The following is a 12,302-nucleotide window of genomic DNA, read 5'->3' as shown; positions in this document are numbered from 1 at the left end:
CACTGGGAGAATACTTGCAGATTCCAGGAAACTGGTCACCCCAGAGCCACAGGCTCTCTGTGTTTCCCTATTAAAGAATGTAGAATGTCTTATGATTACCTGTGTACCACCATGATGAAGAACGTGGACTCTGGAGCCTGTATAGACAGACTGAGGTGGTATTCCAGCTTTGCCACTGACTATCTGGGTGACCAAAGTGCCTAGCCTTTTGGTTTTTAGTTATTCAGTATTTCATATATTAACAAGTTAATATATGAAAAGCCCTTAGAAGAGTATCTCTAGGGCTCAACACTGCTGTTTTCCCCATCAGACTTGCCAGGCTGAGACAACTGTCTTCCCAGGGCTAGCCTAAAGCTCTGTATGTAGTAGATAGGCACATAATGTGTGATGATACAAACTCATAGTGGGGGTGAATTTATGAGATTTTCCTCTCGATGAACAACAAATTCCTCATCAGCAAATGGAAGCTAGCCACATTCAGAAGCAGCTCTCTCGGCTTCAGCCCAGAGACACATATGGTGCAAGAACGCCCATTTCATCCCATCTCAGGTGTTAATTACCAGCTTCTAGCTACCAAAAGCTCTGAAACAACACTAAGGAGAAGACATTACACTATTTTTAGCAATATTTTGACAGCTATATTAATAAACAATAATTTTCTTATCATCTACCAGCTGATCACCACTTGCCACCAAACAGATCAGCCTTCAGTTCAGCAGGGATAAAGGGAGCAGAGATGGGAAACTGTTAGTTTTTTTAAAGTGAAAATTCCAAATAACAGGGCCACTGGCTTTGTAATGGTCTCAGGCATGCCTGCTGCTCATTGCTTTGTGGAAGGCCTACTTCCTTTTCCATTTCAACCTGCAAATCAGTCAAGGTGCACAGGATGGGGAGACAGCGTAAGAACCAGCTGAACCCCTGTTCAGTGAGAACCCCCCTCAGGTTCTCACTCTAGAAAAAAACAGCTGGACTAGAAACACAACCCTTGGAGACAACAGGACCAGGTGGAACATGAGTAACATGACCGGTTATTCTCTCTCTAATTATTACTTATGGGGTCTGTAGTGTACGGATGTGTATCTGCTAATCACAGGCTTCCAGATGAACCCAAGGCAGCCTTTTCACGTTAACAAATGAAGACACTCTTAATTTAATCACCCATTTCTGGGTCAGGGAGCCCCAGCTGCCAAGGCTGTTTGGTGCAGGGCAAACACAGCACCCTCATCACAGGGGCATTTGCAGTGGAGTGAGCCAGGCCTGGATTTGCAAACCTTCCTGAGGGACATCAACCCACCTCCACTCAATGAAATGAACCATCACTTTTCATTGTTTACATATAGTCATTTCATCAATGAGAATGAGAAGGAACTAGGAGGAGAATGAAGGAAGGAAGAAAAGGAGGGAAGAAGGATGGAGGCAGAAAGGGAGGGAGGGATGGAGGAAAAGGGAAAAGGGAGGGAAGAAGGTAGGTGGGAGATCTTTTAGCAATACATCATTTTCCAAAGAACAGAAAAGCAGTGTCCATGGTGTATTTATAACGTGTAATAGATTTTAATTGATTAGTGCCAATGGTGCTTCTAAGACAATTTTTCCAATCTATACAAATGAAACATATTTTCAAAATATATGTTCAGAGCAACCCAGTACTGCCATCAAGAGTTCTGACTTGCTGGTCAGGGAGTTGGGTTGGCATCTTAGACTCACTACTGACTAGCTGTAACAAGTAAATTCACAACTCTGTAATCTCTGAGATAATATTCATACTTAACTCACAGGGTTGTTTGAGGAGTAAATAAAATTAATGCACTTTCTGGGCTTAGTACAGGGCCTGGCACATAGTAGATACATAAAAATTGCTTTAAATAGAAGAGTGTCTATCAAAGGGACCCATTACTGACTGATTGGGACTTTGTGGATTGTGGAGCTGACAAGAGGGTTTTCAAGGGCAACCAGCCCTTTGGGGATGAAGGTCCATTGGGGGTTGCAGCCTCCTGAAAGGGCACAGCTGGGGTGGAAAGGGCATTGAAAACAGCTTCTCTATCAAGGTATCTCTGCCTACATATCATAAAAAGCATTGGAAAGTCACACATCTACCTGTGGTACGCGCACACAAATGAAAGATCCAGAGAAAACCACCACTTGAACTTTTGGGAGCTGCCAAAAAGTTCATTTTGTGCTCATCTCTCCAAATTAAGATGTACTTGGCAAATGACAGCTCTGGCTGTAATAAATTCACTTGCTCACCAGTTAAGGGCTGGGAAGCATTTTTAGGAGGAGGCTAAAACTCAAACACTCCGTCACAATTTCTTTTTCTTTTGATGTACTTCAAGGTTGACACCTTTGTGCGCTGGAGAGATGACTAACTTCCGTCTGATAATTTTTATGTCTCAAATCAGGCGGTCCAAAAGTTTCATCATTTCTATTATGTAAACCATAGACTCAGAGCTGCTAATTAATGTGTAACATGGTCTGGTTTGAAGATTTTCTCTTGTTTTTCTGAATCCTCGGTAGATTTTTAGGTTTATTTTTAATTGACAAATAAGAATTGTATGTATTTATCGTGTACAACAGCATTTGATAGATGTATACATCGTGAAATGGCTAAATCAGTCTATTTAACATATGCATTACCTCATACACTTTTTTGTGGTGAGAACACTTAAAAATCTACTTTCTTAGCTATTTTCAGGCATTCAATATATTGTTATTAACAACATCACCATATTCCACGATAGATCTCTGGTACTTATTCCTCCTGCCTAACTGACATTTTTGTCCTTTGACCAACATCTCCCCAGTCCGCAACCCCACCCCAGCCCCTGGTAACCTCCATTCCACCCTCTGCTTCTGTGAGGTTGGCTTTTATTTTGATTCCACATATAAATGAGATGATGCAGTATTTGTCTTTCTGTGCCTGGCTAATTTCTCTTAACATGATGTCCTCCAGGCTCATCCAGGTGGTCACAAATGACAGGATTTTCTTCATTTTTAATGCTGAATCATATTCCATTATGTCTGTACACATTTTCTTATCCGTCAATGGACACTGACGTTGATTCCTTACCTTGGCTCTTACGAACTTGGGAGTGCAGGCATCTCTTTGACATACTGATTTCCTATCTTTTGAATACATTATTTCCATTTGGGGAAACAAATCCCTAAATACTTGAGGTTCTACGTTCTGTGTCTTTCTGTTAAAGCCCCTTCCTTGTCTTGCCCTGTTTTAGGCTGCCCCAGTTGGTGAGATATTTGGAGCCAGCTCCGGGCTGGACATTGCCCCCAGCCTGGGAAAGCAGAGTGGGGGGCAGTGGGCCTGTAAAGGGAAACTTGGACACTTTGTTCCTAGGGTTTCCAGAAGCCCTCAAATCTCACCTCCCTCTGGTCTAAGAACCAAAAGTGCCTCCCGAGTTCTAAGCAGTTTGTCCAGTGTGAGACACAGCGTTAGGGTCCAGTAGCTCTTCCCCTGCCTTCTTCCCCAGACCACACCTGCCTGACTCCGCTCCTGCTGTCTTCAGGCCCCTTCCTGTGTTCTCAGCCTGGAACCAAGTGTTCATTGACAGGGACCAGCTCATAGGCTGCCTGCTGCTTTTCCTGTTTGGGCTGGGAAGGAGTTATCTTCCCCTCCTCTGGGTTCCGGCTACACTCTATGCATCCCTCCACTTCCAGGGGTTCTTAGCAGGCGCAGCCACGCCTCCCTGATGCAGCCTACCCCATCACAGGGCTCTTTGGGGTTGTCACATGACTGGAATTTAGTGAGTGGGGGGCCATTGTGCTGAACCTCCTTCATCACCCCACAGCACAAGGGCAAAACAGCAGCTTTCTGGGAACACCATCAATGTTTCCTGGGAAAACTGCCTGCGGGGCGAGACTGAGCCCCAGTGGATAGGTGCATAACAAATGATCCTTCAATAAATGAATGAGTGAATGAATGAATGAGGGAGAGAGCATATCACACATCTTGTCACTTTCTACTTGTTATTTAAGGCCATCCTAAAAATTCTCAAAGCTCAGGGCCAATAAAAGCCCGTTTCTGCTGCTGTACTAGAACCTTTCTTTTCACAGGTATCCTGCCTCCTTAAGAACCAGCCCATCACCAATTGCAGGGCCCAGAAGAAATCATGCAGAGCGGGGCACTCACCAGACCCAGCCGCCATGCTCACCCCCATCTCCTCCCCTCTGCTGATGCTGCCTGGGTTCAACAGCTGCCCTTATGCTGGGATCCAGGGCAGGCCAGTCCTGCAGTGGTGCCTACACTTGTCTTTTTGAGCTTTCTGTCCTCTGCCTGGTTTGCTGGCTGGTTTATCACTCAGTCTGCTTCTCTGGAACATGGTTCCTTAGACTGACCTCTCTCTTTTTATGATCTTATTCATTTTTCTACCCCTAATGCGCATGATTTGCTCCCATCAAAAAACTCCAGAAAATCACAGGCTAGTAGTGTCCTGGACTCTGTTTCCTTCCTTTATTATCTTAAAGTACTCAGCTAGGCCCTTCCCACTACTAAACCGTGAGAACTGTGTGGCCCAGTATGTTTCCCTCTTCTCCTTGGCTGCCAGGGAACTCAGAGCTATGTTTTATGCTCAACAGCTTTATTCACTTTAAGCTCCTAGATGGAATCTTTTCCATTACCTTTATTTCTTAGTTCTTATCATTTAACTGAAAACTTTTGTTTTTGTCCCAGGTCCCTCCCATGACACAGGTTATGGGAAACCCAATTCAAGACGAGATTTGGGTGGGGACAGAGTCAAACCGTATTGTTCTGCCCTGGCCCCTCCCAAATCTCATGTCCTCGTGTTTCAAAACACAATCATGCCCTTCCAACAGTCCCCCTAAGTCTTAACTAACTCCAGCATAAATAAATAATAACTCCAGCATAATAAATCTGCTTCATTTATTCTAAGTTGACAAGATCTGGAAAAAAAGTGGGGGTGGCGGGGGAATTCTCCAGTTTGGCTGAGGTCCTTTAAAATTCTATTCTCATCTCATACAACTTCTCCAGGGAAAAGGTACTCTCAGTCTAAGCTTAAATATTTACAGATGTGGCCCCCAGATTGCCTCAGCCCCCCATTTGAGCCTCATTCTCCCAAATCCTTTGTAGCCTGGAAGGCCAGTTTCAGCCTTTTCCCAGTCTCTCTAGCCCTGAACCTGGCTCCGGGCCCTGGTCACCAGTCTCCTCTCCCTTCCACAGCTCACTGCCTGCTGAGGCCCTTCTGGCCTGGAAACTCTCACCCTGAGCCTCGCCCTGAGGGCAGCCCCTAGCTGGGTGGGTTTGGTCTCCTGCATGAAGCCTTGACAAATTCCCAGTCAGGGCTCTCTCCTCCTCTGTGGCCCTGTGGCAATTCCTGTGGTTTTCCCCACTGTGGTTAGCTGTATTTTCCACTGAATAAGAAGAAGAAGTGCTGACATTGATTGTGTCTTCTCTATTTAGAAGGCATTATGCTTTGCATTTTGTACTCATTCCCTTATTTAACCCACCTATAAAGAAGAAGCCATTTTATTCACCATTTTGCAGATGAGAAAACTATGATGCACATACTTTTTATCTGTATCCAGGACATGAATTCCAGGAGATTAAGTAAAGATCCTTTGTGCCTCTCTCAGCATCTGTCACGGGGCCTGGCACAGACGTTTAATATGTAATTTCTGATTGATTGATTAGTTGATAAGCAGAATGAAACTCTCACCCCCCCACCCCCTCCCCGCCCAACAAAGAAAATCAAAACCCCTCTCCAGTGGAGCGAAACCCTGGCAGAGTTTGATTCAGCCTAAGGCCACCCCAGCCTGCAGGACTTGTGTTCTTATGTGACACTGGTCGGAGACATCCTTAGACTGAGGTCAGCCAACGTATAGCTATGTCTCTGAGCTGGTCTGCACAGCTCTGTGGGCCCAGGGGCCAGAGTCATGCTGGGACCCAGCCTCCCTCTAGCATAGGTCTTATCATACTCTCGTGGTCTTCTTTTCCTCTACCTGTTCCCTCGAGGAGACTATGTGCTTTGGTGGATAATCACAGAACAGAAGTCAATAGGGGAGGGAGAAAGGGAGCGAGGGAGGGAGAGGGAGGAGATAGGCAGTTAATTGAGTGAGTTTTAGGGTAGCACATGTATGAGGCTCCAAGACCTTGGTTTTAAAAAGCATCATCATTACTTGATGGGAATAAGGAGCAAGGATCTTGGAGCAAATGAGCATAAGGAACTTTCCAGAAAGGAGACTTAAGAGAGTTAGAGGCAGGCTGGGGGAAGGCAGAGCTGCAGAGGCCAACTTGTGGACCCCACTAATTCTCTGAGGGAAGGGCCATGAACCTCAATTTTTCTTGTGCTCCAGAACTCACTGAGAGTTCTGAGAGACATGCGCATTCTTCACATGGCTGCTTTACCCTCTTCTTGTATTGGGAGTTGATTTTCCCCAGCAAAAAGCACTGCCAGAAGCTGAAAACTTAAAACAAAGGATCTGCACAAAAGAATCATGTACCCCCTCCCTTTCATTTTTTTGGAACAATTTCACCCTCTGTAGTCCTGTATGGTTTCTGCATAAATTACTCTGCAAGACCGTCCTGCCGCAAGCGAGCTTGCCCGACTGCCTTTGCTGGGGCTTCAAAGCTGCCAGTTAAGCTTTAAGCATCTTGAAAACGTATTGTCTGGAATGAAACAACCAATTATGCTTTCAGGTTTTGTGGCATAATATCGCAGAAACCAGCAATTACAGAATCAGAGTGGCATCAAATGGTGTAGAAGGGAGTTAGCACGGATTATTCTTTAAATAGCAGTTACATGAATTCATAATAAATAGGTATTAGGTGTTAAATGTATGATAAGTAATTCTTGACAATGCAATTATCCAAACAGAAGAGGGAAAAGTGGCAAAGTGGCATTGTCAACTTCTTTTGTGCGTAGCGTGCTCAGTGAGACTGAGATGTGGAGTGAATTTGCCTTTGTTCCGGCCTGGAGTGGAAGCAAGAATACAGATGTGGGCACGGAAAGGAATTTGACTGGTTCCAAAGAGATGGCAAGTTTTCAAAAGAGCAAGGCCCTTTCCCATTGGGGCAGAATGTGGCTGACCAGAAAATTCCATGACAACAAGCTCTGCTGATACAGAGCCAGTTGATCAAACACATATTTAGAGAGTGCCTGCTATGATATAATTTGTGTGAATGTACCTAGCCTGGAGCTTGACAAATAGTAGATGTATAAGAAATGTTTGTTAAATTTACCTGGCACTTAGGACCAGGGCTGCTTTGTAAGGTCTCACAGGCTGTGCACTGCACAATTCCAGGGAGCAACATTTATATAGATGATATGTGAGTAGCTTCTTTTGGAGTGATGAGAGGTTGTGACCCTGCTTAGAAGGTACAGTAGAATTTATATCTCTGAGCTTGGTACTTCAGTTTGATTCTCACCACAGAGAATAAAATTTCAGTGCGATGACTTTCAGCAATGTTTTTCAATGAGTAAAATCGAGGGCCAGACTACTTGATGTCAAATCCAAGCTTCCTTTACAAGCTGTGTGTCTTTGGGAAAATTACTTAACCTCTCTGAGCCTGTTTTCCTTGTCATAAAATATGGATAAATAATAGTATCTATTTCAAAGACATATTGATAAAGATTAAATTATATCACATATTAATGAGTTTATGAATAACCTTATAATACTTCTTCCCATTTTTTCCTGGACACTCAGCTAGACTACATTTCTTAGCCCCTGACACTTAGGTGTGGCCATGTGACCGAGTTCAGGCCAGTAGAATGTGAGTAAAAATGACTGCATGACACTTCCCAGCCTGCCCCAGAGGACCCGGAATACAATTCCAAAGCCCTGAGGGGTGGCAGAATGACAAGATGAAAGCTTTGGTCCCTGAAACGTCTTGTGAAGGAAAGCTCCCTCCCAATTAGGCACACGGAGGAAGAAGTAACTTTCTGTTGTATCAAGCCACTGAGATTGTGGTTGATTGGTGACAGCAGTTATCATTACCCTATCTAATGCACACATTCAGAGAACATAGACAACGTGTGTGTTTTAACCATATTACCTTGGGTAAGGTGTGAAGAGGCCAAAGATCAAAGGAGAAAAACCAGAGAGAGTTTTACAGGTTTCTTACTCACAATTCCCTAGGAGGAACACATCTCACCATGCAGCGCTGCTGGGGGAAGCACCAGAGTCGGTCACAAAGCAGGCAAAGAGAGGGGATCTGTGGACAAGTACCTTTACCCTCAGAAAGGAACCCGTGAGGCATGGTAAGTAGGCTCAGAATTGGCTAGTGTGAGCAATTTTCAGTGGGCTTTGGGACAGAGTGGCTGTGCCTGGTTGTCTGGTACCTGGACCGGGGAAGATCAGAGCAGGTGCACATTGTCCTAAAGCCTGTTAAGGGAAGTGGTTGGGGTATGGACATAACCAGTTGTTTAAGAGGGGAAACTGATTGTCTTCCAGCCAGGTCCTCGAAACTGGATCAAGATGACATTGATAAAAACTTTGTTATAGTGTGGTACATTGGGGTCCCCCAGTGAGCCGCACAGCTGGAGGTGAGTGGTGGTGAGTAGTGAAGCCGAGCTCCGCCTCCTGTCAGATCAGTGGCGACATTAGATTCTTACAGGATCTATGTGAACTGCGCATGCAAGAGGTCTAGGTTGTGCGCTGCTCATGAGACTCTAACGATAAATGCAACGCGCTTGAATCATCTCAAAACCATCTTTCTCCCTCAGGTCCGTGGAAAAATTGTCTTCCACGAAGCTGGTCCCTAGTGCCAAAAAGGTTAGGGACTGCTGTGGTACATGATGGGCACTTCTGTGAGTCAGCTGCCACTCAGGGCAGGGAAGGTAGGGATGTTTTGTGTGTGCCAATACTGGAGCTATATATGTTGAGCTTACAACGATAAAATAGCCCTGTTCTGCCAGTCCAGACAAGCAGCAAACTACATGGAAAGGTAACTGGCGCTGCTGAGAGGCGAGTCCTCCAGGTGGGAGGCACCAGAAATTGCTCAGCGATCTGCAGCCTTGCACCATCAGGTAGCTCCGCTGCTTGAGAGACCACATGGATAAGCCACATGGAGGCATCAGACAGAGAGGGAGAGGCCCTGAGATGATACAGGGAAAGACAGAAGCCGTGCTGAGCCCAGGCATCCAGCCGCTCCTGCCCAGGTGCCAGACGTTATCACTCGCCCTGGGAAGCAAGCTGCCATGTTGTGAGTGGCCCATGTGGTGAGGACAGGAAGCCTCCTGTCAGCAGCCATGTGAGTGAGGCTGGGAGTGGATTCTCCAGCACAGTGAAACTTTCAGAAGACTGCGGCTCTGGCTGGCAGCTTCCCTGCAAACTCACAAGCTGGCTCCCCCTAGCTAAGCTGTTCCTGTGTTCTTAGCCCTCAGAAACAGACGATGAATGTTTGTTTTGGTTTGTTTTGTTTTAAAAGAGTGTCGTTCCTGCCTATGGCATGCTCACGGTTAGTTCAGGGCAAGATTGATGAGTGGAGCATGCAAAGAACATAGAGGAGGAACCCATTGCATAGGGGAGGCTCTCCCCTTGTGTGGGGAGAGTCTCAGTGCAGGTGGCACATACACCAGGCCTTGCAGAATAAATGGGAGAGAACACCAAAAAGGAAGCCATGGAAGGGCATTCCAGACAGGAAGAACAGCCTGGGTGGTGGTGCAGAGGCATGGAGGGCATGGCACATTGCAGAGACAGCAAACAGCTCCTGGGGTTAGAGGATAGGGTAGTTCAAAAAGAGGCATCTGCAAAAGGCTTTGTTGAGAAGGAACTTGCGGGTCTTTTGAAAGAGTTTGGTATTTATTTCATGAACAATTGAGGGTCTTTGAGGATCACAGGCAAATATACTTGTGTAATTTTTTTTTTTTTTTTTTTTGCGATGGAGTCTCACCCTGTTGCCCAGGCTGGAATGCAGTGGCGTGATCTCGGCTCACTGCAACCTCTGCCTCTTGGGTTCGAGCAATTCTCCTGCATCAGCCTCCCGAGTAGCTGGGACTACAGGTGCCCACCACCACACCCAGCTAATGTTTTTGTATTTTTAGTAGAGACAGGGTTTCACTGCATCACTCAGGATGGTCTCCATCTCCTGACCTTGTGATCTGACAGCCCCTGCCTCCCAAAGTGCTGGGATTACAGGTGCCTGTAGTCCAGCTACTTGGGAGGCTGAGGCAGGAGAATGGCGTGAACCTGGAAGGCGGAGCTTGCAGTGATCTGAGATCACGCTGCTGCCCTCCAGCCTGGGCGACAGAGCGAGACTCCGTCTCAAAGAAAAAAATGTGATGCATGAATGACTTGAAATGTGCTTGTACATGAGGACCTGCCCTAGCTTGCTCCTCTTAGAAGCCCAAGCCTCCATGTGGGCAAGACCCAACAAGTTAGTTGAGAAATGTAGGGCCTAGTTACCCCTGTTGCACAACTGACATCCAGCAAACTCCCAGAAGCAAAGCCATCTACCTCACTGCAGATGCATCAGTTAGCCCAGTCAAACCTACGGAAGAATCAACCAGCTGAGCCCAGCCTAAGTCACCAACTTGCAAAGTCAGCTAAATCAGTTGATGCAGAATCGGTTGTTGGTTTGGCTACTAAGTTTTGGGGTGATGTGTTTTATAACAAAAGCTAATGAATATACCTCCATACCTCAAACAAAATCCAGAACGTTTACCATGACCTGCAAAGCTCTACATAATCTCTGAGAACCGAAACCATCTAGACACCCACAGCTTCCTGTCTACATTAATGTGACTTTACTTTCCGCCTCTTGATTGGCATAGCTTTACTAATCCAGGAAACTCTAGCCTAAGAAGGTAAAAATTTCCACTTTATTGTTCATTCTACAAACTTCCTGAGAAACCCATCAACTCATTAATAGAAAGCATCAGTTTACACCTGAAAAACCCTTTGAACCCTTTTTTACTTGAAAATTCTCACCTTGCAGTAGCCACCAAACCTAAACTATTACATCATGATTCTTATCCAGTCCTAACTAAGCTCCCTCATTGAAAGATTTGCCTTAAACAAGACTTCAAAAATCTCATGAATATCCCAATTTTGCCCTTCCCCATCTGAGATACAACTAAAACTCTGTTGAGGTGGCATCCTTTCTTATGTGGGTAAGAATAAACTCAGCTTTATCTTATCAACAGGTGGTTTTGGTGATCTTTTTAGGAAGCCACATTCATCTTCATTTCCTGCTACTCACCTCCACCCTGTGTTATTGCTTTCCAGCCATAGCAGCCTCCTTGCTCTTCCCTGAACATGGCAAGCATTTATTGTCTTCAAGAGTTTATGCTTACTGTTTTCACTGTCTGGGATCCACGATCTTTTGTATTTACCTTTTTTACCACTTCCTCTGCTGGGGTCTGAGTTTGAGTACCACCCCCACCTCCAGAGTCCTTTCCTAAGGAATCTCTTATTTCTAAAGCATCAGCATCTTTCACTCTCTATCTTCTTGCTTTATTTTTACTTTTCTTCATAGCACTGAGCTCAACTGAAATTACTATATGCACACACACACACACACACACACACACACACTTGTTTGTCTATTTTTTGTCTTCCTTCCTTTCTGGAAGGTATGCTCCAAGAGGAGGAGAACACTGTCTGTGTTTGGCACCACTATAAGCTCTGTGCTTAGAAGACACAGGTTTGATAAATACTTGCTGAGAGAACATTGGTAAGTGAGTATGAGATGCTGTTGGTGTTTTGTTAGTATTGTTGTTGCTATTTTCAGCATTCTATTCTGTGCTATGCTTTTTCTTTCCAGAACCAAACTTTCATTGGTCTTCCGTTTCACAAATCCTTCTGAGATTCTCTTTTCAGAAATCAACAGTTTTATACCTGCAGCCTCTTCACTGAATCTCTGCCTCATCTACCTCTGTAGGCGAGCCTTGGCTGTCTCCTGAAGGCACCACTTTCCCAGCCGCCCCATGAATGGAACTGCTAGTGCTCCTTTACCCTCATTTCACATGTGGGGAACGAATGGTGCTGGGCATTTTCTCAACCACCTTCCACTTCTGGATTATTTCTCTTCAACCTCACATGAAACTCCTGCTCCTCTGGCCTCACACAGCCCCTTATCCCTCCTCACTGCTGATCCTCAACTTATCTGCCCATCATTCCCCTCCCTCACTAAAGACTCAGCTTCCTGGTTCTCCTTCTTCCTCTCCCTTCCTCTCCCCAAGCCCTGCTGGTATCAAGGTGACCTCGCTATCCATGTGGGCACCCACCCATCAGACACTCTGGTTATATCTCTGATGTCTTCTTTGCCCATGATATTTACCTCTTCTTCTCTTCATTCATTCATTTCCATGATGACTCTCTGGGCTCTGCATAAC

Source organism: Homo sapiens, chromosome 5, assembly GCF_000001405.40.
Source record: "Homo sapiens chromosome 5, GRCh38.p14 Primary Assembly".
In the NCBI taxonomy this organism is placed as follows: Eukaryota; Metazoa; Chordata; class Mammalia; order Primates; family Hominidae; genus Homo; species Homo sapiens.
The sequence above is the reverse complement of the archived record's forward strand: the minus strand, read 5'-3'. Positions refer to the sequence as shown.